The sequence below is a fragment of the Homo sapiens genome, chromosome 14 (genome assembly GCF_000001405.40).
Source record: "Homo sapiens chromosome 14, GRCh38.p14 Primary Assembly".
NCBI classification, from domain to species: Eukaryota; Metazoa; Chordata; class Mammalia; order Primates; family Hominidae; genus Homo; species Homo sapiens.
Window position 1 is genome coordinate 64251648 of NC_000014.9, and position 26749 is coordinate 64278396.

Genomic DNA, 26749 nt, shown 5'->3' on the forward strand with positions numbered 1-26749 from the left:
TAATCAGACCATACATAACTCATGGAGAAAGTTAATTTCTAAACAAAGTCTAAAGAACTAGGTCTGATTGCTTTCTTTTTAAGCAGGTGTGACAGTCAACCATTTCATTCAAGGGGTGGCAAAGTTAGAATATTTTTATTCACTCCACAGTCTGCAGAAACCAAATACATTTCAACAAAATAAATGAGAAATGAAGAGGCAATAAAGTATAAGACATCGTAAATGACAGCCCAGTAAAGGTCTTTCAGATGAGTTACACAGAACAAAGTTAGTAAAGACTCTAAATTAATGACATCTATTTTATTTATTTTATAATTTTAGATTGAAACTGAATTATGAGTAAGAAATTAGGACAGGGTTAAAAGAGTTGAATTAAAGACAGGGCTGGCTGGGTAAAGTGGCCCATGTCTGTAATCCTCGTGCTTTGGGGAGGCCAAAGTGGGAGGATCACTTGAGGCCAAGAGTTCTAGACCAGCCTGGGCGATGTAGCAAGACCTTGTCTCTACAAAATAATAATAAACCAGGCATGGTAGCATACACCTATAGTCCCAGTTCCTCAGGGGGCTGAAGCAAAAGATCACTTGAGGCCAGGAGCCCAAGGTTGCAGTGAGCCGTGATGGCACCACTGCACTCCAGCCTGGGCCACAGAGCGGGACCGTCTCTAAAAAAAAAAAAACAAAAACAAAAACAGGGCATATGATTTGAATGTTAAAATATTGAAACAATGTATCAACCAAACTGACCTACTCAGGAAATTTATTTTTGCACACTATCTGTCCATAAACTACTAAATAAAATCAGTAATAACATGGAATATCTTTGTATTAGTCCATTTTCACATTGCTATAAAGCACTATCTGAGACTGGGTAATCTATGAAGAAAAAAGGTTTAACTGACTCACAGTTCTGCATGGCTGGGGAGGCCTCAGGAAACTTACAATCATGGCAGAGAGCAAAGGGAAACCAAGGCACATCTTACATGGAGGCAGGAGAGCGAGTGACTGAGCAAGACAGCCGGGAGCTGCCAAACACTTTTAAAGCATAAGCTCCTGTGAGAACTCACTCACTCTCATGAGAACAGCATGGGGGAAACCATCCCCATGATCCAATCACTCCCACCAGATCCCTCCCTTGACACGTGGAGATTACAATTTCAGATGAGATTTGCTGGGGACACAGAGCCAAACCATATCAAATTTATTACTTGACAATCACTTTTTTTTTTTGAGACAGGGTCTCACCCCGATGCCCAGACTGGAGTGCAGTGGCATGATCTCTGCTCTCTGCAACCTCCTCCTCCTAGGTTCAAGTGATTCTCCTGCCTCAGCCTCCCATGTAGCTGGGATTACAGGCACACACCACTATGCCTGGCTAATTTTTGCATTTTTAGTAGAGAAGGGGTTTCACCATGTTGGCCAGGCTGGTCTTGAACTCCTGACCTCAAGTGATCCACTCACCTCAGCCTCCCAAAGTGCTGGGACTACAGGTGTGAGCAACCGAGCCCGGCCAATAATCACTCTTTATAAAATAAGAATATTGCTTTTTATTTTTTATTTTTTTTAAGATGGAGTCTTGCTCTGTCGCCCCAGCTGGAGTGCAATGACGTGATCTTGGCTCACTGCAACCTCCACTTCCTGGGTTCAAGCAATTCTCCTGCCTCAGCTTCCCAAGTAGCTGGGATTACAGGCGCCTGCCACCACACCCAGCTAATTTTTGTATTTTTAGTAAAGAAGGGGTTTCATCATGTTGCTCAGGCTTGTCTCGAACTCCTGACCTCAGGTGATCCACCCATCTCAGTCTCCCCAAGTGCTGGGATTACAGGCGTGAGCCACCGTGCCTGGCCTAAAGAAGAATATTGTTTAATACAACAACAAAATGTTGAATGAGTGGGCCTCCCTTAGGGGTACACTATTTGTGTGTGTGTGTGTGTGTGTGTGTGTGTGTGTGTGTGTGTGTGTATGTATGTGTGTGTATATATATATATATATCTCTGCTCGCAGCACACACCTGGGTACAGACCATGGTTTACCTCTGTGTGTATGGCAATGGCAGGGAGTGTTTAAGGCTTAGAATTGGGAATTGAAAATTCGGTGGTTATCTTGAAGGAATTTAGCATACAAATAACTAATGTGAATGTAAACTCAAGACATTTATACATATACAATTCCACGGACCTATCTGCAAATGTCCACAATGGGATCCAAGCCAGATACAAACTTCCTCTGACTAATAATTTAACATTAGTCAGTTGCCTGTTGATACTAAGGACACAAAAATGTCTTTGCATATGTGACTTTTTTTTGAGCAATTAGACAGTCAGGTTCTTTAGATCTTCACGTGAATTTATGATGAATTTAGTGGTTAGTAAAAGAAAAACTAAATGCTTAGAAATAAGCTGAAGTAATGAGATTTTCCTCTCATCCTCAGTAGACACAAGTTTTCTTGTTGTGGACACCTCAACAAGAATAAAGGGAAACAGAAATTATAGTTTCAGTATCCACAAATGGGCAACTGTTAGTTGTATTCACTGTTTATTCAGCCATATTACCACTTGAAGAAGCTCTGCTAGGACAATCCAGCAGAAGACAGTTATTTTCAAATGGTGTGAAGATTCCCTTCACTTTGCAAAAAAGAGTCGTAATAGAAGTCTTTATGGAGCATGACTCCTGACTTTTTGAATGAGCAACTCCTCTACAAATATACCTATTACATAAAAGTATATTCATTTGTATAAGAGAGGACTAAGTAACTGAACTATCTTAGACTTCAAGTTCCAGACTTCAGAAAGTTAATGTGTTAAAAATACTAGAGACTGTAGGCTGGGCGTGGTGACTCACGTCTGTAATCCCAACAATTTGGGAGGCTGAGGCTGGGGGATCACTTGAAGTCAGGACCTCGAGACCAGCTTGGCCAACATGGTAAAACCCCGTCTCCACTAAAAAAAAAAAAAAAATACAAAAATTGGCCAGCCGTAGTGGCACATGCCTGTAATCCCACCTACTCAGGAGGCTGAGGCACAAGAATCACTTGAGCTTGGGAGGCGGAGATTGCAGTGAGCTGAGATCATGCCATCGTATTCCAGCCTGGGTGACAGAGCGAGACTCCATCTCAAAAACAAAAAACAAACAAACAAAAACTACTAGAAATTGCAACAACAAATAAACACCAGTAGTCATTCCAAAAAAAAAAAAAAATGCCTGCTCAACATGAATGCATTTACAATTCCCAAGAATTCCTCTTCTATACTCAATCAAATATACTAGATTTATGTTTTACAACATAATACTTTCACTTAAGTTATAAAGGCAGTGTAAGTCTATTAGAAATAATTTGTAAGAAAAATAACTTTTCTTCTATTAACTAAAAGGTAGGCCTAATATTTTTCCAGGATTTGTGTCCACTTATAGTAATGTATACACACAATTACAGGAATTAAAGAACGCATACAGAGAAATGGGAGAGTGGAGAGTTAATTGTACTAAAAACCAGGAATGAAATAGTCACCAAAAATAAACACTAAATTTGGCATCAATTTAGAAATCAAGACAAAAGATAAAATAATCCTAAAGTCTGCAAATTATTTGTCAAGGGATGGAATGTGTTCCTAGGACTAACTTCAAGGAAAATTATATGTGTATATTTATACATATGTATATTTGGCCCCAGTTAAAACACCAAGCAGAATACAATGAATGAATGAGAGCAATGGCTTGGCTAGGTGCTTGGCTTTTCAGCCTGCCTTGCGACATGGTACCCTGAGATGACAGTGGGGAGAGTGGGTTTCTGCAGTGTGTTACAAGTAAAACAGGGCTGTTCTCTACCAAAACATCTCTGTTCTGCAGAATGTGCTCTTTGTCAACATTGTCACCCATAACAACAGGTAGAATAAAGTAGAGAGTTAGTTTGCCATTTGGCAACCCCCCAAGTCCAGCTCCACCACCTATTATCCTACCTGTAAGCAGGTTTCTCAATCTCCCATTTCCAATATCTGAATGATAGAGATAATAATGGATCCTACTCCCTCAAAGGGGGCAGGAAGATTGTGAAGATTAAATGTGTTGACATAAGTTAAATGCATAAGGTGCTGCCAAGCACATACAAGCCAATAGGTTAACTATTTTGTTTGTTACTGAAGGGTCTTGTGCCCTGAACTTCTCTGGTCTTCCAGAGCCTCCCTCCATGGTTTACCACCTGGGCTTGCTCCTGTTCAAGTCACATCAGTCCTCCAGCTCTTCTCAGAGGATCTGTTCTCTATCAAAACACCATTATGCAGAACAGTGCTCTTTTAATAACATTGTCAACCATGACAAAAGGCAGAATGGGGACTGATACCTTGGGGCATCACTCTTCATCTGTGTAACACAGGGTCTTCTGATGATCTAAAGTGGTAACAGGATTATAATGCAAGAGTTGGGGTAGACACTAGGCATCCTCCCACGCTATGCAGAGTCAGATGTGGCTGAACATTCAACCTAGCACTTTTTCCATAAAAGAGATGTGGAAATCAATTTCCAAGAAGATTTCGAACTGCTCGAATTTACACCAAGAGGGTGTTCTACTTTCCTGCTAAAAAGCTTGAGTATTTTTATACAGTCCAGCTTTCCCTCCATAAACAGTTCACCTAAGTCAATTAAAAATTGTTTCCTTTTCTGTGTCATCTTTAAAAGAAAATCAAACACAACCAAGATACAGCATCATGTCCCATTTTCTGTTAAGTTTCATATAGTTTTAGTAACCCTTCCTTCCACCGCTATTGCCAAAAATGCTATATAGTACATGCATTAGAATGTGTTAAAGCAGATCGGGCATGGTGGCTCACGCCTGTAATCCCAGCGCTTTGGGAAGCTGAGGTGGGCAGATCGCCTGAGGTCAGGAGTTCAAGACCAGCCTGGCCAACATGGTGAAACCACTTCTCTACTAAAAATAGAAAAATTAGCCTGGCATGGTGGTGGACACCTGTGATCCCAACTACTTGAGAGGCTGAGGCAGCAGGATCACTTGAATCCGGTAGGCGGAGGTTGCAGTGAGCCAAGATTGCACCTCTGCACTCCAGCCTGAGCAACAGAGAGAGACTCCATCTCAGAAAAAAAACAAAAAACAAAACAAAACAAAACAAAAAAAAACAAAAGAGTGAGTTAAAGCATGTGAAAATAAACTTGGCACATTTCTAAGAATTTTATCACCTGTCCAGAAAGCTCCAGATATAATTGGTCACTATAGGTACAAAAAACAGCAGGACAACTTAAGATTATAACCTGAAAATGGAATTTTTAATGGAGAAAAATCTGTGTCGACTTATACACATAGTGGCCACATACCTACGGGATACAGTCCCCTATTAAAGCGCTGGCCTGTAAATGCTGCTGCACCACAGATTAAAAATGAGTCACAGGACCCTGAATCCTTGGACCCAACTCTCTCCTTCTCTGGTTCTTGACCCAGTGAAGGAGCTGATGATGCTATCATCCTCTGCCCTGCAAGTGTGAGATTTTAATTGCAGCACCCAGGACTTTGTTCCCACTCACTAAGCACCTTACTCAAACAAGTCAGAGAAGAAACACAATGTATTTTTTCTCACCTGTCCAGAACAAGATCTGGAGCAAAGATGAGCTTGCCGGGGTGGTCAATTGAGCGCCACATCAGCCCCATCATTAACACCTCCATCCAACAGCTCTCCAAGAGCCGCACTTGGTCGAACAGGCTGAGCTCCACAAAGCCTGGGGAAAGCAAGAGGCGGTGAGACACCCCCACCCCTCCTCCTCAGCTCCCTGTGTGTGTAGAGACAGAATGGCAAGTGTTAAAACACTAAGAAAACACAAACCATTAGGGAGTTGATATTTTATAGATGTGATTAACTGCTCATTAAAGGAAGAAAACTTTGAAGTTAAGCTGCGCAACTTAGTTTCCAGTCTTGGACCCCTTCTAGAGACAAATATACTTCATTTAGAGTTTGTCAAGCACTACGACCTCGGCTCAGAACTGATCTTTGTTAGCTGTGTCCTGATAATTCCTCTGCACTACTGAGAATGTTGATGCTTGGCTGCCAGTCAGAAGACCTGCCTGTCTGACCCAATCCTTGACTGGGATCAGAAGGGGTGGGGGATGGGGTAGGTGGGGGATGGGGTAGGTGGAGGTTGGGGTTGGAGGCTTGCAGAGAGCAGTGCCAGCCCTCACAGAAAACCAAGGCCTCAACTGCAAGGATTTCTCTGATTGATTAAAATTTCCTATCCAGTGTTAAGATCCTTCTTCTGGGTAGAAGCACTGTTTCTGGGTGATTCTATCCTAAACAGCAAATATAGCCAAGCACACCTGTAATCCCAGCACTTTGGGAGGTCAAGGTGGGTGGATTGCCTGCACCCAGGAGTTTGAGACCAGCCTGGCCAACATGGAGAAACCCCATCTCTACAGAAAATTATCTGGTCATGGTGGCAGGTGCCTGTAGTCCCAGATACTCTGGAGGCTGAAGTGGGATGATCGCCTGAGCCCAGGAGGTCGAGGCTGTAGTGAGCTGAGATCACGCCACTGCACTCCAGCCTGGGCAACAGAGCGAGACCCTGTCTCAAAAATAAATAAATAAATAAATAAATAAAGAGCAAATATAATAACGAAGCAGGTCCTGACAACCTAATAACCCATGTTGGTCACAGTACTGTTTGCAAACAGGTAATCTCTGGGGAGGGAAGCACTTCAAAAGCAAAGCAGAGAACACCGGGGCTTCCTTCACAAGCCATGATAAAAAGAGAGGGCCATGTAATATAAATATGATAACAAAAGACACCGCCTTGGAGTGAAATGGACTCTGGTTCGAACCCCAGCTCAGCCTCTTTCTAGCTGTTCACTTAATCTCCCATTAAGTCTTTGTTTTTCTTATAGGAAAATGGGGGTAACAATGCCTATCTCTGAGAATGTCTTATAGGCAGGATCTCTTATCATTCTTGTTTTACAGATGAGGAAACTACAGCAGAGAGAACACACATGGTTCAAGTCTTTGAACAATTATAACGCAAATCTGCCTCAAGGAGAATGTAATGGTGTTATGAATGTAAAGATGGATAAATACTTTCTAAATCCACATGCTTTGCTCAGTTTAGGTTCCTAATGTGTATATACCTTCCCAGTCTCACCCATAGTGATTGACAATAAGCCTACCCAAGAGAGATCACGGTTCTTAATCTTGTAGATATTCAACAAGATCAAGGCTAGATGATATTTTAATATATATTTTTTGGTTTGGACAATGACTATGCCAGCTAAGAGAGGAGAAAAAAAATCACGCCTTCAGATTATGTCTACGTTTCCTGAAAACTTTTCAAAACACCAGGCTTGAATAAGGAATAATGCAGTTTAAGAGTTCAGATTTCTTATGGCACAAAGAAGGTGCACAGCTTTCAGCAATAATTAATTTCACCACTGCTCTCCATGTGTGGTCCTGCAAAATCGTGTTTGGAATACATTTAAAGCAAAAACTAGAGGAAAGTGCATCAGTATTGCCTCCCCTGGGAAAAAGCAGAGAAAATAAAATAATTCTGGCAAAGGTGAAGATGCTAGACAAAACAAAATACAACTAGAAACCAAAAATCCTCAGGAAGCTCAGAAGAAATGGGCCCAGGCCAACAAAAGTCCCCAAATGATACTGTCACCATAGGCCTCAGTTCCCCAGGCTCTTTACCCAAAACTTCTCTTCCCCCAGCTTCTCACCCCTCCTCATCTTTACAGCTTGCCCAGTGCAGTCGCTGCCCTCCAGGCCATGGGAATGCCCCCAGTGGCTCAGAACTTATAAGAGACTTCATTTCTTCAAGGACTGTAAAGAACAGCATGGAGAAGCTGTCACAGGGGGATCGTGGGGTGTTGCCACTCTAGGTTAGAATCCTAGATTCACTCCTCCACAGAAACACCAAGTCAAATGATAATTAGCTGGTAATTTTAGCATCATACAGCACTTCAGATATATATTACAAATGGGCTTGAGAGAAGTGATCACTTTGGAGGATGGAAAACGCAGGTTCCAAGTGACAACTCATGAGTAACTAAGCTCATTTTTAACTTGATGGCATTCCAGGTTTATGGGCCCATTGATGATTCGTGTAACTTCAACCACTGATTTACTCTGTTTGTCCATACATATTCATTTATGTACATAATATTGATTCTCTACTGGAACAATAATTTACAAAATTCTATTTAGCATCTGACAAACCTTTCACTTTCAAACTAGTCATACTGTACTCTACCCCACCCCTCCTTTCAAGGTGAGGAATCCACAGCCAAGAAATGGGTCAATGTGGAGTCTATCATTTTAACCACGTTCCAGGTTCCAGGACTCTAGGATTCTTGCCCAAATGACCCCAAGCCCAATTCCAGAGCCTAGGTAGGTTCCCTGGGTCCATCCTCCCAGACCACCTCTAGGCATGAGAGGTGGCCAACAGGTGAGTGTCTGTAGCAGATGTGGACACACAGGATAGGGTTTGTGCAAGGTGGTATGGGATGCATCTAGCCATGGGAAAAGAAGGCAGTCAAGAATAGAAATGGCTGGGCCACGCACAACTCTTTCTGCACTACCATGTTGGGTACAGAACTCAGAAGAGTCTCAGAATTCTAAATCAGAACACGGCCTTGTTGAAGGTAGGTATGCCAAGACAGAAGGAAGGAACATATTGCACTTAAAAGTTACAAATCCAGCTGAGGACCTGTTAAATATCTAGGCACAGCTCATGGACCTCTACTTTGTACTCTTGCCCCTTAAATATTAGCGGCCGGCCTTTCTACAAGTACATGGAAAACTGATAGCCAGAAAGCCCTACCGGGAATCTTCTTGGCCCAGCTGATCATGTGTACCAACTCCTTGTCGGCCAACTTGGTCAGGGACATCATCATGGAGGCCTCGGTGAAGGGCGCACTGGGGCGGCTGATCAGCACATGGGGCGGCTCAGCCTCCAGGAGGGTGAGCACTAGCTGCTCGGGGCTCAGGGCGTCCAGCAGCAGCTCCCGCACTCGGGGCGCGTGGCCGCCACTTCTCTTGGCCTTGCCGGCACAGTGCAGCTGCTCGTCGGCACTTCTCTGTCTCCGCACAAGGCGGTACCCACATCTCTCTCTCCGGGAGCCTGAAGAGGAAAGCAGAGTCATTCGAATTGCCAGGGTAAAACCGCAGTCAAGCAAAAGCAGCTTGACTTTTATTTTCTGGAGCCTGTGGGGCACGTACCAAAGATTACTATGGTCGTGACCGTACTAGCAAAACCAACGACATAACTTTTCAGAAACTTTTTAGGTCTCCATTTCCAGGTCATCTATAGATACTAACACCGTTTCTCTATAAAGAGTGCTCATAAACCTGTTTCCAAACCATGAAATTAGGAATTTTCTTCAGGTAGAAAAATGGGGATATTTCCAAAGGTATCAAATAATATACTTTTATTATAACACATTCTTAAAATGTTTATATGCATGTGTGCATATGTATATATTTCCTTATACTTACACAAAACAAGTATATTTCAAATAACAAATTAAGTGAAAAAATCTGAAAAATATAGAAGAGAATAAATTTTGGCATAAACTCTTTCAGTCTTTTTAATGCTTTTATTTTTCTTTTTTCTTTTTTTTTTTTTTTTGAGACGGAGCCTTGCTCTGTGGCCTAGACTGGAGTGCAGTGGTGTGATCTCGGCTCACTGCAAGCTCCGCCTACCGGGTTCACGCCATTCTCCTGCCTCAGCCTCCCGAGTAGCTAGGACTATGGGTGCCTGCCACCATATTTTTCCACGTTTTATACACAAAATTATTTATTTATTTTTGAGACGGAGTCTCACTCTGTCACCCAGGCTGCAGTTCAGTGGCACATTCTTGGCTCACTGCAACTTCAGCCTCCCGGGTTCAAGCGATTCTCCTGCCTTAGCCTCCCAAGTAGCTGGGATTACAGGAGCCCGCCACCATGCCTGGCTAATTTTTATATTTTTAGTAGAGATGTGATTTCACCATGTTGGCCAGGCTGCTCTCAAATTCCTGATTCTCAAGTGATCTGCCCATCTTGGCCTCCCAAAGTGCTGGGATTACAGGCGTGAGCCACTGCACCCAGCCTTTATACACAAAATTAGATTGTAGTATCTACACTATTTTAATTGTATTTTTGAGACAGAGTCCTGCTCTGTTGCCCAAGCTGGAGTGTAATGATGCAATCATAGCTCACTGCAGCCTTCATCTCCTGGACTCAAGCAATCCTCCTGCCTCAGCCTCCTGAGTAGCTGGGACTACAGGAATATGCCACCATGCCCAGCTAACTTTTAAATTTTTTTGTAGAACTAGGGTCTTACTATGTTACCCAGTCCTCAATAGTTTGACTGTTTTCTCAGAACCCATTGGGCATTAAAAATCATTTTTAATGTTTGCTAATCTAACTAAACCATCTCGCTTTACTTTGTATGTTTTAATTACTAGCAAAGTTGATTTATATGCTTGTTCTTTGGATTTACTTTTTTTTTTTTTTTTTTAAGAGACAAGGTCTCTGTCACCCAGGCTGAAGTATGGTGGTACAGTCATGATCACAGCTCACTGCAGCCTCAACCTCCCAGGCTCAAGAGATCCTCCCACCTCAGCCTCCTGGATAGCTGGGACTACAAGTGTGCACCACCACATCTGACTAATTTTTGTATTTTTTGTAAAGACAGGGTCTCACCATGTTGCCCAGGCTGGTCTCGAATTCCTGGGCTCAAGTGATCCTCCTGCCTTGGCCTCTGAAAGTGCTGGGATTACAGGCATAAGCCACCACATCCGGCCCAAGAATTAAGTTTTAGTGATATAGAAACAAGGTGGAACCAAAATAACAAACAATAACATGCAAAATCAGAGAGGAATGATTTTGGTTAGAATTTCTAAGATTCTTTTTTGGGAAGATAGAAGCTTAAATTCTCAAATTAATCAAGAACACGTTACAAAACATAAACGTCATTAAAGGAATTGAAACATGGCCAAACATGGTGGCTCACACTTGTAATCCCAGAACTTTAGGAGGCCAAAGGTGGTTTCGGCGGGTGGGGCGGGAGGGGACGGATCACTTGAGGCCAGGAGTTCAAGACCAACCTGGGCAGCATGGTGAAACCCCATCTCTACTAATAATACAAAAATTAGCTGGGCATGGTGGCAAATGCCTGTAATCCTAGCTGTTTAGGAAGGTGAGGCAGGAGAATCACTTGAACCTGGGAGGCAGAGGCTGCAGTGAGCCAAGATCACACCACTGCACTCCAGCCTGGGTGACACAGCGAGACTCTGTCTCAAAAGATAAAAGGGAATTGAAACAGAATGTATGACTTTTAAACTAGCAAAAGAAGAAAAAGAAAACATAAAAATGTGATCAACTCCTAAAAGGGAAGAAGTAGAAAATACATAATAAAATTTTTTAAATCAAAAAATAAGATGATAGAAATGAACCCAAATATCAGTTATCACAATAAACAAAAAATACCAAATTGACCATTTAAGAGTGACTCTGAAATTATACATATTTTTAAATCTAGACATAGATTAGGTGTAAGAGATATACCTAACATATAGAAAAACAAAGTAGACAGATAGAAAAATATTTAACAGGCAAAATTAACCAAATAAATTGACATTACTCTATTGATACCAGACAAATAAACTTTAAGGCAAAAATTATTATTATAGATAAGGAGACTCATCGCTAGAATATTTTAAAAAGATAAATAATTCTAAACTCATATACTTCAAAACAACAAAGGCCAGGTGCGCTGGCTCATGCCTGTAATCCCAGCAATTTGGGAGGCCAAGGTGGGCGGATCACCTGAGGTCAGGAGTTTGAGACCAGCCTGGCCAAAATGGAAAAACCCCATCTCTACTACAAATACAAAAATTACCCAGGCATGGTGGTGCATTCCTGTAGTCCCAGCTACTCAAGAGGCTGAGGCAGGAGAGTCGCACAAACCCAGGAGGCACAGTGAACCGAGACCGTGCCATGCACTCCAGCCTGGGTGACAGAGCAAGACTTGGGTTGAAAAAATAAATAAATAAATAAATAAATAGACAAACAATAAAACACAGCCTCCAAACACAATACAAAAAGTAACTGAAAGAAAAAGAGAAACTGACAGATGCAGTATTATAACGGGCTATTTAAATCTCTCTCTCAACAGCTGAAAGAGCAAAAAGTCAGAATGCAGAATATTTGAACCACATAATTAACAAGCTTGATCTACAAAGGCCATAGATATTTTGCAAAAATTATCACATGCTAGGCAATGAAGAAAATCTTAAAATAGGTATTATTCAGATCATATTCTCTGACGATAAGAAAAATGGAAATCAACAACAAAAATATAACTTCCAAATCCCTATACATTTGAGCACCAACATCTTTATAAGTTTTCATCGGTTAAAGACAAAAAATGTAAAATGGAAATTAAGAAAGACATGTTGTAAGTAAGGATGTCATTAGCATGGTTATAACTTTTATATGAATTTCCCTTAAAAAAAGAAACCCTAAAAGTTGAAATCTGCAAAATGCTTGGTTTTATACACCCATCATTATGTTTATTCACTAAATCAATTGTTTACATTTTTAAAAATAAATATTAGTTAGAAAATGTGAGCAAATTTAAATTATTGGCTCCCAGGAAAATTTGTCAGAATTTCCTCTTAACATTGACTAGTTATAGTAGAAGAAAGGGCTCTATTTATTCAGAAAATTTGAACCAAATTTACTGCTAAAAGAATTAAAGGCCTAAAATACAATTCATTTTATTAGTAATCAAGCAGAATGCTAAGGTCAATTATACACCCAGGATAAAATGGAGCAAAATGTATGTTTTTCTTAATTTTTTTAATATACTTTAGGTTCTGGGATACATGTGCAGAACATGCAGGTTTGTTACATAGGTATGCACATGCCATGGCGGTTTGCTGCAAAATGTATAGTTTTAAAAAGCACCTTTCTGCTAGGCAAGGTGGCTCATGCCTGTAATCCCCCAGCACTTTGAGAGGCTGAGGCAAGGGGATCACTTGAGCCCAGGAGTTGAAGACTAGCCTGGGCAACATAGTGAAATCCTGTCTCTACAAAAAATACAAAAATTAGCCAGGCATGGTGGTGCACACACCTGTAGTCCCAGCTACTCGGGAGGCTGAGGTGGGAGAATCAATTGAGCCCGAGGAGGTAAAAGTTGCAGTAAGCCAAGATTGCACCACTGCACTCCAGCCTGGGCTGCAGCAGAGTGATACCCTGTCTCAAAAAAAAAAAAAGAAAAAAAAAAAAGCACCTTTCTGATCATACATTTCTCTTTTGTAGAGTATAGAGTATATAAGGATAAGGAATTTACAAAACAGATTTATATACCCTTTACATACCCAAAGTGAGAGATTTTGAATTCATACGTTCAAATTTACTTGACAAATTTTCACTGACAAAGTCTAACATTCTAGGTCCTGTAGTGAATTCTGGGGGTTCTAGACTCAATAAAGCCCTTGACAAGGAGCTCATTTTTCTATCAAGGATGTTTCTAGTGTTGTGGCTTTGACACTGTAACCTAGGCAGCTGCCTCTGAGTGAGCTTAATGAGCAGCTCCACCAAATCGAGTGCTCCATATTAGGCAGTGGTAAATAGCCCCAGCCAAAGATGATGATGATCGTAGTGATAAATGACACTAAATGGCAGCTAATGTCTACTGGAAGCTTCTATGCACCAGGCATTGCATATTGCACATGTCCTGACAGCTACCCTACAGTACAGGAACTATTACTGTCTCCAATGTACAGAAGAGGAACCAAACATAAGCTCAAATAACTTGTCTAAGATGGCACAGCTAGAAAATAGCAGAAGCAGGATCTAAACCCAAGCAGTAGCCTAAATCCAGAGCTGGTGCTTTTAACCACTATTTTATACTACCCACCTATCAAATCCCTTTCACAGAAGAGTATACAGCAGGTATATAAAGATATGGCACCCAAAATATGTTGAGCTATTGTCCCAATATGGGGATATAGGCCAAATACATGGCTATTCAGAGGGATTTCCTGGCTCCTTACATTTCAGTATATCCTTATAATGAAGTTTCATCCATAAAGTTAGTCTAGGTGGGTGTTGTCCTACCATTATATGACCACATCCATACTTCAGTAGAAAAGACAAGATCAGAAATTCAGAAGAAAAGGGTGATAACAGACTACATGGTTTCAAAATAAAAGAAGCAGGATGGTGCAGGAGGATCCAACAAGCAGGTAGAATCTCTAGTCCTCCAAACCTGATAGAAGAAAAAGCATGCATAGAGGGTTTTGGGGAAGGCAGATAAGAAGAGTGATGGGAAAGGAGAGAGACAGAGTTAAGAAAGTTCATCTCTAATGATCTTTCTCTATGGTCAGTGAAGGGCAAAATATCCCATTGTATATGTGCAACAACCCATCTCATTTCTTCCATAATCTCCAAAGAGAATACAGTCTTTTCTTAGACTTTCTGGCTAAATACAACAACCTTTCTCTCATTCCCTTTTCTATGAAAGCTTCTTTAACTATCCCTCTGTACTCTGTCTCATGAAACAGTGTTGTATCAAAGCTCATATGAGTTTTTCAGGGAAGGAGAGAGAATGGAAGGAAAACTAAAATTGAGTGTCAGATATTGTGCTAAGTCTTCATATATGTTTTCATACTTATTGTTCACAAAACCAAGTGAAGCAGATATCTCTGTTCAGAGACATGAAAACCAAGGGCCAAAGAGGTGATTCAGTAGTTTGAGCACAGTTACAGTCAGCAGGAAGTGATGAAACGAAAATGAAACATAGACTCTATGGGATCCAACCTCCATGCTCTTCCCTGCATACACTGCCTTGAGCCATGAGGGCAATAGCTGTGCAACGGATCCTAGTATAATAAAAGCATTCTTAAGACTAACTTGGAAATCATTTTTTAAACACACACACATACTCACTTTAAAATAGTTTAACTTAAAACTTAAAACATTTATTTGCAATCTTTTGTCAGAGTGCCAAGGCTTTCTCTTTAAGCATCTGGGCCAATTAGACAAAGTCACTTTTCTGCATAAACATACACATAAGATATTATCTCTGGATTTTCAGTTTCAGCCTCTTTAAAACAAAAACAGAGCAAGAACCTAGATACTTCTAAAGAATTCTGAATTCAGGATCTCCCAAGGTTTATGGGTTTTTTTCCCCCAGTCTCACCCATACCTATCTCAATAGCTATTAGTCCTTTAAGATTTTATTCAAAACTTTCAACTAAACTTCCTCCTCCCCCCGCCCCCAGACAGAGTCTCACTCTGTCACCAGGCTGGAGTGTAGTGGCGCGATCTCGGCTCACTGCAAGCTCCACCTCCCAGGTTCAAACTATTCTCCTTCCTCAGCCTCCCAAGTAGCTGGGACTACAGGCACATGCCACCACGCCCGGCTAATTTTTGTATTTTTAGTGGAGACAAGGTTTCACCCTGTTGACCAGGATGGTCTTGATCTCTTGACCTCATGATTTGCATGCCTTGGCCTCCCAAAGTGCTGGGATTACAGGCGTGAGCCACCGCACCCGGCCTTAACTAAACTTTCACAGAAAAAAACCAAACTTGTCTTTTCCTATTCATAATATGTTTGAGTAAATTTTAATTAAATTTTATAATGTAACAATTACAGTGAGTAGAAACAGGTTTGAAAAGAAGCCCACCGGTTTCTGACAAGGATAATGTGAAGCGGTGGGAATGGAAATGTTTAGGTGTTTGAGAGAATAACCAATAATACACGCTGTGAGGCTATGGGCACTGGCAGGATGTTCTACAGAGGAAATGAAGATCATCAGTGACTCTAGGAAGCCAGAGAAGCATGATCAGATGAAGAGAACTTCTGCTGTAACTGAACTATAATAGCTGAGGGTTCTAATCTGTTACATACACAGAGAAAAGAAAAGGGCAGAGAATGCTCACAAGGCAAAGCTACTAAGAAATTGTCAGGGAGGGCTGGGTACAGTGGCTCACACCTGTAATCCCAGCACTCTGGGAGGCCAAGGCAGGCAGATCACGAGGTCAGGAGATCGAGACCATCCTGGCTAACATGATGAAACCCCATCTCTACTAAAAATACAAAAAAAAAAAAAATTAGCCAGGCGTGGTGGTGGGTGCCTGTAGTCCCAGCTACTTGGGAGGCTGAGGCAGGAGAATGATGTGAACCCGGGAGGCAGAGCTTGTAGTGGGCTGAGAATGGGCCACTGCACTCCAGTCTGGGTGACAGAGCGAGACTCCATCTCAAAAAAAAAAAAAAAAAGAAATTGTCAGAGAGTAAAGTGATGGATTTTTGTTTTAAATTTTCAAATAATTACACAGAGAAATTACAATTAACCACAGGTAAAATACTGGCTAGCAGAAGAATAAGTGCAGGCAGAACTGCTCTGAGTACATATAAACAAGCAAGTGAGTACAGACAAGTGAACCAAAATCTAGCCAGGTGGAGAGAGCTGGGTGTTGGCATCTTTGTCAGTTATATACCAAAGTGCTCACTTTTCTTTGTGCATAAAATATATGCGAATGTATGTGAGTGTACAAAATACATGTGAATATATGTATGTGAATATGTTAAATACACATATGTATACACCTATGACTGTCATAGAACAAAATCTATGCTGTATGTACTTTTCATAGTTCCATTATGTTTCTGACTCCTACATATTTTTCTACTTCTAGAAAGCTAGACGAGGGGATAGGTGTGAGCCTCCCCATGGCTACCCCAGTAACCCACAAGATATCCTACTTTTTTGTCACGAGTTTTAACCATGGACATTTACCACGACTTCATCCTTAGAACTGGACTTTTCAAGATCACAGACAGACGGCCACCCAGCCCTGTTTGAGGATTCCAGTGGCTAGAAGTCCCCTAACCCATCTGGTGGCCTATTCTGTGGTCAGACCACTTGAACTCTAGAAAGCTCTTCTCTACCTGGGGCCAAAATCTGCCTCCCATAATCTGTTCCCATTCACCCCAGCTCTGTCCTCTGCAGTTACTGTGGATAAGTCAATGCCCCCTCCAATGTGACAACACGCAAATACTTAATTACTATGTCCCAAATCTTCTCTTTTCCCGGCTACCTGTCCCCAGTTCCTCAGAGGACAGGGCTTTTAGCAAGGCCCATATTCAATAAGAAGGGAAGCAAGCACTCACCACACTTCACCATTCCCACTTCGTAACACTTCCGAAGTCGGCAGGCCTGGCAGCTCTTGCGCCGGTTTTTATCGATTGTACACTGATTTGTAGCTGGACAAATATAATCATTATGTCCTATAGCAGAGTGGGAGGGAAAAAAAGATTATTGCTATGATCTCTTAGTTAAATCTCTTCCTGGTCAACAACACTGATAACACTTTCCAGCTGAGAGATAGGGGACATCTTCTTAATGACCAGTACAGGTACAAAGCCAAAGTCAAGCTACATTGTCACCTTGTTAATGAGTAAAGGAGACCTAGGAACATTTCAATATCCTGGTTTTTTACTAATATGTTATTCTCTGCATATTCTTAGAATTCTCAAAAGAGAGATATAAAAATATATCCTTTGGATGTGGAAAATAAGACTAACATTAAATTGATTTGCTCCAAGTCACAGAACTCAAGAGTTGTAAATCAAGTCATCAAATTCAACTTCTTATATTCTTTTACATATATCCCTCTTTCGGGTTTAATACAATATTTTTATGGGAATTCATAGTCAAATAAAATAACAAAAGGAACAAATAAAGAAATTAGCAATCTAAATAATGACAGAAAGTACTGCTATTGACAAGAGTTGTGGTGGATTACCGTTCTCAATTCTTCATTCTCTCCCTCAGCCTTGCGACCCTGCAGTGTACTAGAGTGCGCAGAGAGCAAACACTTCCCTACCAGTTGATGTTGGGCTTGACCACAGGACTTTTTATAGCCAATGATATATCAATAGATGTGCTGCTCCAACAGTTTGGCTTGGCCTCTTGAGCTCCTGTGAGGTAGCCACTGGTCCAAGAAGAACGTGGGGACATGTGGAACAGACCTGACCTCCCACAAAAGCCCAGAACCAAGTTTATGAAGTAGAGCTACTCTAAACAACTCAAAGACACAGAAGTACAGAAAATAAGGCCCATTGTAGTAAAATCCTAAGAGTTTGAACTTGTTAGTTATATAGCAATCTCTAAGACAATGGTACTTTTAATTCTCTTATGCAAGGAAGAGCTAAGAATATTTATATTTCAAAAATTATTTCAGATGCAGTACGAAGAACCAATCAGAGGCAGCAAAACTGATGAGGCCAGGAGACCAGATGACAGCCTGCTGTAGTTGTGCAAATGAGAGATGTCTGGATGGGGTGTTGGTAGGGAGGATGAGGACAGCTACATGGGTTTGAGAAAGGGTTAAGAAATAGAAATTATAATAAAATAGATGAGAAGCAAAAGTGAAAGTGAATAGGGCATTTTAGTGCCTTTCTAATAAACAATATGGCCTCAACATCTTACATTAAGCCTATAATGAACCAGAATTTCAGTGCGGAGAATAAATGAATCTCAATGATAAATGAAATGAGCAAGTCATAAAAGAAAAAAGTCACAAAATATATGTAGAAGACATGAACACATAAAGTTCAAAAACAGAGAAAATCAACCTGCATCGTTTAGGGATGCACGTGTAGGTGGTAAAACCATACACAGCAAGGAAGGCAGAAAGGAGGACTGTCCCACCTCTGCAGGGAGGGAAGTAGGTGTGGCAGGAGGGACCACCCAAAGGGATTCTGGGCTGCCATTATATTCTATTTCATTGTTTGAGCGCTGGTTACACAGGGATTTGCTCTATAATCATTCTTTAAACTGGACATGTTACATGCAGAATTCTACACATTAGCAAACAATGAAAAGGTAATTTTTTTTTTTTTGAGACAGAACCTTCCTCTGTTGCCTAGGTTAGAGCGCAGTGGCACGATCTCGACTCACTGCAACCTCTGCCCCCCGGGTTCAAGTGATACTCCTGCCTCAGCCTCCCAAATAGCTGGGATTCAGGCACCCACCACCACGCCCAGCTAATTTTTGTATTTTTAGTAGAGACGGGGTTTGGCCGTGTTGGCCAGTCTGGTCTCGAATTCCTGACCTCAGGTGATCCACCCGCCTTGGTCTCCCAAAGTGCTGGGATTACAGGCGTGAGCCACCACAGCTGGCCAGAAGAGGTAATTAAAAAGCTAATTGTAACTCCAATATTGAAACAGTCTTCACAGTCTCTTAGATCTACATGAATCTCTCATGTTGCAAAGAGATATCTGCACTTCCATGTTTGTTGCAGCATTGTCCATTATAATGTAAGCAAAGAAGATGTATATGAAGTACAACGATGTTTTTCAAGCTTTCTAAGGCTCCTTTTCTTCTATTACACTTATATTATTAACTATACTTCATATATTTGATTTCAAACAATAACATCTCTAGTATGGCCCAATTTTATTAAAATACTTTGATTTATCATCTTTTTTTTTTTCCGAGACAGGGTCTCCCTCTGTTGCCCAGGCTGGAGTTGCAGTGGTGTGATCTCAACTCACTGCAACCTCCACCTCCTGAGCTTAAGCAATCCTCCCATCTCAGCCTCCCATGTAGCTGGGACTCCCACTTTCCCCACTCCCACTACCCTTCCTAGCCTCTGGCAACCAACCTGCTACTTTATCCCCACAAGTTCAATTGTTTTCTTTCTTTTTCTTTTTTGGAGACGGAGTCTCTCTCTGTCACCCAGGCTGGAGTTCAGTGGCATGATCTCGACTCACTGCAACCTCCACCTCCCGGGTTCAAGCAATTCTCCTGCCTCAGCCTCCCGAGTAGCTGGGACTACAGGCGCATGCCGCCACACCCAGCTAATTTTTTGTATTTTAGTAGAGACAGGGTTTCACCGTGTTGCCCAAGCTGGTCTCGAACTCCTGAGCTCAGGCAATCTGCCTGCCTCGACCTCCCAAAGTGCTAGGATTACAGGCATGAGGCACTGCAATTGTTTTTATTTTTAGCTCCCACAAATAAGTGAGAACATGGGAGGTTTGTCTTTGTGTGTCTGGTTATTTCACTTAACATGACCTCCAGTTGCATCTGTGTTGTTGCAAGTGACAGGATCTCATTCATTTTATGGCCGAATAGTGGTGTATATGTTCCACATTTTCTTTATCTATATTCACCTGTGGATGGACACTTAGGTTGCTTCCAAATCTTGGCTATTGTGAACAGCGCTGCAACAAACATGGGACTGCAGACATCTCTTCGATATACTGATTTCCTTTCTTTTGGGTGCATACCCAGCAGTGGGATTGCTGGATCATATGGTAGCTCTATTTGTAGTTTTTTGAGGAAACTTCAAACTGTTCTCCATAGTAGTTGTACTAATTTACAATCTGACCAACAGTATACCAGGGTTCCCTTTTCTCTACATCCTCACTAGCATTTGTTATTGCCCATCTTTTGGATATAAGCTACTTTGGGGTAAGATGGTATCTCATTGTAGTTTTGATTTGCATTTCTCTGATAATTAATGATGTTGAACTCCTTTTCATATACCCATTTGCCATTTGTACATCTTCTTTTGAGAAATGTTTACTCAGCTCTTTTGCCCATTTTTAAATTGGATTTTTAAGTTTTTTTGTAGAGTTGTTTGAGCTCCTTCTATATTCTGATTGTTAATACCTTGTCAGATGTTTGCAGATATTTTCTCCCATTCTGTGTGTTGTCTCTTCACTTCATTGATTGTTCCTTTGCCATGCAAGCAGTTTTTTAACTTGATGTGATTCCATTTGTCCACTTTTACTTTGGTTGCCTGTGCTTGTGTGGTATTATTACTCAAGAAATATTTGCCCCACCCAATGTCCTGGAGAGTTTCCCCGTGTTTTCTTTTAGTAGTTTCATAGTTTGAGGCCTTAGATTTAAGTCACTGATCCATCTGGACTTGATTTTTGTATATGGTGAGAGATAGGGATCTAGTTTTATTCTTCTGTACATGGATATCCAGTTTTCCCAGCACCATTTATTGAAGAGACTATTTTCAAAAATGAGTTAACTGTAGATGTATGGATTTGTTTCTGGGTTCTCTATTCTGTTCCATTGATCCCTATGTCTGTTTTAGGCTAGTACCACGTTGTTTTGGTTGCTATAGCTCTATGGTATAATTTATAGTCAGGTAATGTGATTCTTCCACAGTTTTGATATTTTTGCTCAGAATAGCTTTGGTTATTCTGGATCTTTTGTGGTTCCATACAAATTTTAGGGTTGTTTTTTCTATTTCTGTGAAAATATCATTGGTATTTTGATAAAATTGCACTGAATCTGTAGATTGCTTTGGGTAGTATGGACATATTAATTCCTCCATTCCATGAACATGGAATATCTTTCCATTTTTTTTGTCCTCTTCAATTTCTTTCACCAGTGTTTTATAGTTTTCATTGTAGAGAACTTTCACTTATTTGGTTAATTCCCAGGTATTTTATTTGTAGCTACTGTAAATGAGATCACTTTAGATTTTTTTTTCAGATTGTTTGCTGTTGGCATATAGAAATGCTACTGATCCTGCAACTTTACTGAATTTATTAGATCTAATAGTTTTTTGGTGGAATTTTTCAATTTTTCCAAATATAAGATCATCAGCAAACTAGGATAATTAGACTTCTTCCTTTCCAATTTAGATGCCCTTTATTTCTCTTTTCTGATTGCTCTAGCTAGGACTTCCAGTACTATGTTGAATAACAGTGGTGAAAGTGGGCATCCTCGTCATGTTCCATATAGAGGAAAGGCTTTCAGTTTTTCTCCATTAAGTGTGATACTAGCTGTGGGTCTGTTATATGTCTGTTATTGGGCTGAGGTATATTCTGTCTATACCCAGTTTTTTAAGGGTTTTTATCATGAAGGGATGTTGAATTTTATCAAATGCCTTTTCAGCATCAATTGAAATTATATGGTTTTCCACCTTCATTCTGTCGATATGGTGCATCAAATTAATTTGCATATGTTGAACCATCCTTGCATCCCTGGGATAAATTCCACCTGGTTATGATGAATAATCTTTTTAACGTGTTGTTGCATTTGGTTTGTATTTTATTGAGGATTTTTACATCAATATTCATTGGGGATATTGGTCTGTCATATTCTTTTGATGTTTCTTTGGTTCTGGTATCACGGTAATACTGGTCTCACGGAATGATTTTGAAATTATTCCCTCCTCCTTCTCTATTTTTCAGAATTGTTTGAATAGGATTGGCATTAGTTCTTCTTTAAATGTTTGGTAAAATTCTGGATGAAGCCATCAGTCCTGGCTTTTCTTTGCTGAGAGACTTTTTTTTTTTTTTTTTGAGACCTGATCACACTCCATCACCCAGGCTAGAATGCAGTGGTGCAATCTTGTCTTACCACAGTCTTGACTTCCCGGTCCCAAGCTATCCTCCCACCTCAGCCTCCTGAAGAGCTGGGACTACAGATGCATACCACCACACCTGGCTAATTTGTAATTTTTTTTTTTTTTGTAGAGATAGGGATCTCTGTGTGTTGTCCAGGCTAATCTTGAACTCCTGGGTTAAGGTGATCCTCCTGCCTTGGCTTCCCAAAGTGCTGGGATTATAGGTATGAGCCATTGTGCCCAGCTTGCTGGGAGGCTTTTTATAACAGCTTCAATCTTGTTACTTGTTACTGGTATGTTCAGGTTTCGGATTTCTTCATAGTTCAATCTTAACAGTATGTATGTGGTCTAGGAATTTATCCATTTCTTCTAGGTTTTCCAAATTATTATCATATAGTTGCTTATAATAGCCTATAATGATCCTTTAGATTTCTGCGGTATCAGTTGTAACATCTCCTTTTTCATCTGATTTTATTCGACTCTTCTATCTTTTTTTTAAAAAAATTAGTCTGGCTAAAGATCTGTCAGGTTTATTTTCTCAAAAAAACCTTCATATTTTGTCAATCTTTTGTGTTGTTTTCTTGGTTTCAATTTCATTTATTTCTGCTTTGATCTTTTTATGAATATTTCTTTTCTTCTATTAATTTTGGGTTTGGCTTGCTCTTGCTTTTCTAGTTCTTTAAGATACATCATTAAGTTGTTTACTTCAAGATTTTCTACTTTTTAGATGTAGGCACTTAAGCTATAAACTTTCCTCTTAGTACTGCTTTCACTGTATCCTATAGGTTTTGGTATGTTGTTTCCATTACCATTTGTTTCAAGAAATTTTTAATTTCCTTCTTAATTTCTTCATTGACACACTGGTTGTTCAGGAGTATATGGTTTAATTTCCATGTTTGTATAGTTTCCAAAATTCTTTATTGATTTCTAGTTTTATTCCATTGTGGTCAAAGAAGGTGCTTGATTTGATTCCAGTTTTTTTGAATGTTTTAACACTTGTCTTGTGGCCTAATATATGGTATATCCTTCAGAATGATCCATGTGCTGAGGAAAAGAATGTGTATGTTGCAGCCACTGGATGAAATATTCTGTAAATATCTATTAGGTCCATTTGGTCTTTAGTGCAGATTAAATCTGACATTTCTTTGTTGATTTTGTGTCTGGATGATCTGTTCGATGCTGAAAGTGGAGTGTTAAAGTGTCCAGCTATTACCATATCAGTCTGTCTCTCTCTTTAGCTCTAATAATATTTGCTTTATATATCTGTGTGCTCCAGACATATTTACAATTGTTATATTCTCTTGCTGAATTGACATCTTTATTATTAGTGACCTTTTTTGTCTCTTTTTATAGTTTTTGTCTTGAACTCTATTTGGTCTGGTCTAAGTATAGCCACTCCTGCTCTTTTTTGGTTTCCATTTGCATGAAATATTTTTCCATCCCTTTATTTTCAATCTACATGTGTCTGAGGTGGGCTGATCTCCTGAGGTCAGGAGTTCGAGACCAGCCTGGCCAATATGGTGAAACCCCATCTCTACTAAAAATACAAAAATTAGCCAGGCGTGGTGGTGGGTGTCTGTAATCCCAGCTACTTGGGAGGCTGAGGCAGGAGAATCCCTTGAACCTGGGAGTCGGAGGTTTCAGTGAGCCGAGATTGCACCATTACACTCCAGCCTGGATGACAGAGTGAGACTCTGTCTCAAAAAAAAAGAAAAAAAAAGTTGTAGTTATTGTTTTTCATTGGTTCTTCCTTTAGACTTTCTACTCAAAATATGAGGTTACAAACCACAATTAACAGTGTTATATTATTCTGTGGTTTTCTATGTACTTACTATTACCAGTAATGAAAATAGGTAAATTTTATTGTATGCATATTATATCTCAAACTCAACTTTTAAAAATTGGCTCCCATATTTTAAATCAATGAAAAATGAATGGATTTATTAAGTAAAATGATGTGGAGAAAATTAACGAGAGATAAATACATTTGGTTATTTCATTCAGTATGCCAAAATAAATTTCTTTTGAATTAAATAATAAAATGTAAAAACAAACTATTAAATAACAAAATATGCGCAAAAGTTTATATAATGCCTGGGTATGAAAGGACTTTTTTTAGGCTTAAAAACTATACACAAAACTATCAAAGTTGGTAATATTTGACTATTTAAAGATTAACTATTTCTGCATATCAAAATCAGAGTCAAGTGGAAAAAATATTTGTCATACATGTAATAATAGGTTAATATATAAAGCACACAATAAATTTATCAAGCAAATGCCAGAACCCAATATAAAAACGGGCAAAATCTCTGAATAAAGAAGATAAAAGAGAAAATACAAATGGCAGATAGATTTATGAGAAAACATTTACCTCACTAATAAAGAGAAGCAAATTGAAACCAAAAGATACTATACATCACGTATCAATGTAGCAAGGTTTTTTTCTTTTTGATAAGAGTCAATGCTACCAAGAGGTTGGAAAAAGCGACACTCACACTGCTGGTAAAAGAGCAAGTCTGTACAACCTTCTTAAGACTTGAACACTTGAAAACATCTGTCAAGAACTTTAAACATTAATGCACTCTGACCCCACAGATTTGTTCTAAAAACATATCCAGAGAAACTTATTTTTTTCAAAACTTCATGAACAAATAAAGTAACCATAGCATTAAAACAATGAAAATAATTGATAGGGCCTTCAATAATAAAGAGTTAAATAAATTAAATCTGATCATAAGATAGAATATTACACAGTTGTGCAGTTGTGAAAAGGGTCTCTGGAAATTTAACAACAGAAATGCTTATACGACAATATTAAGTGAAAAATGATACAGAACTCTGTGTATAAGCCCAATTAATTTTGAAAAATCATATTCAAGGAATTGGTAAGTGCCACTAGTGAACAAAATGGACAAAAATCCTTGCCCTCATGGAATCTATAATCTATTGTCTTGTTCACCACTGCATCCGTAGAGCCTGGTACAATGCTCAATAAATATTTGTTAAATGAACACCAATAGGAAAGAGAACAAAAAGTAAAGGATAAGCTCAAAAAATAAGCCATGCTGTCATCTGGACCAGATGAAGTGATGAGGTCCTTCTCCCTATGTCCTCCTTCCTCTGTGCTCCATAACCCAGTAGAGAAACAACAGCACTTATCACTCTGATGGCAACTCATTGTGTGAAGAAGCCAACAAAGTATCAATGGAAAAGCAAGCACAACACAGCTTCCAGTGCATTTGTACAGTGAAGGGGACAGGTACATGACTAAGATATGGTCAATTAGCTTATAAATCAAGTTAGCAAGACAAGTTTAAAATTATAAAAAACATAAGAATGGGCCAGGTGCGGTGGCTCACACCTGTAATCCCAGCACTTTGGGAGGCCGAGGCGGGCGGATCACAAGGTCAGGAGATCGAGACCATCCTGGCTAACATGCCGAAACCCTGTCTCTACTAAAAATACAAAAAATTAGCAGGGTGTGGTGGCCAGCTCCTGTAATCCCAGCTACTTGGGAGTCTGAGGCAGGAGAATGGTGTGAATCTGGGAGGCAGAGCTTGCAGTGAGCCGAGATTGTGCCACTGCACTCCAGCCTGGGTGACAGAATGAGACTCCATCTCCAAAAAAAAAAAAAAAAAAAAAAAAGTTACATGCAAGGAATTTCTCAATACTGTACCATCCTGGCCTATTTGAGACAATTTTAAAAATAAGTGGCCACTTTCAGTTACTGTAATGCACTTATATCAAAGACAGGAAGCATGCAAAGAAAGGATCATTTAGGCACTACAACTGTACAACTGTAACAGCTTTAACTCTTTCCTCTTTGCACATTTAGAATTTGACATTCCTGTCTGATGCAGCAGGAAGGAAGAAACAACATAGAGAAGCAAAGGAAATTTACTTTCAATTGTTATTAGCTGTAGTCTCAGGGGTCAAAGATGTTTCAAGCAGACCAATGTTTCCCCAAAAGCAAAAAAAAAAAAGAAGGATCTCTTTTTAAAAGATATGGTTAGTAGTAATAGGTCCAAACGTTCTTAAGGGGTAAAATCCTAGAAACTCAGCAAGATACAAAATAGTCATCGTATCAAGAATTCAGTTCAGAATTTCAGAAAATCAATATTGTTCTTATCATATAGCCAGGAAATGGACTTGGCCTTATAATCTACTGTTAAGATTGTCACAAATAAAATATTTGAGCACTGAATATGTTTTCATATAATCAACCTTATTTCATCTTTAGAAAATCCCTATGAGTATCTCCATTTCACAGAGGAGGAAACAGGCTAGGAGGTGAAGTCGCAGAGCTAGTAATTATAAAATCCAGGACAAAGAGGCTGCCATTCATACAGGGTGAATTTCAGGGGACAGGTAGGAAGGTGACTACCAACATTT

General features: G+C 39.9%; 1 protein-coding gene across 12 annotated transcripts in view; it reads right to left on the minus strand.

Annotated features, from left to right (window-relative positions):
* The window catches only part of ESR2 (estrogen receptor 2), a 111907-nt gene that overhangs the window by 24941 nt on the left and 60217 nt on the right, over positions 1-26749 (minus strand). For 8 of the 12 annotated variants that reach the window (NM_001291712.2, XM_047431076.1, NM_001291723.1 and 5 more), the window contains 3 exons: positions 17148-17264; positions 8802-9101; positions 5579-5717 (listed from right to left, as the gene is read on the minus strand). In NM_001291712.2, the coding sequence (NP_001278641.1) occupies positions 5579-5717; positions 8802-9101; positions 17148-17264 (556 nt within the window). Of the gene's footprint in view, positions 1-5578; positions 5769-8801; positions 9102-17147; positions 17265-26749 lie in introns of all 12 variants that reach the window. The other 4 variants (NR_073496.2, NM_001271877.1, XM_047431078.1 and 1 more) reach the window with 2 other exon arrangements.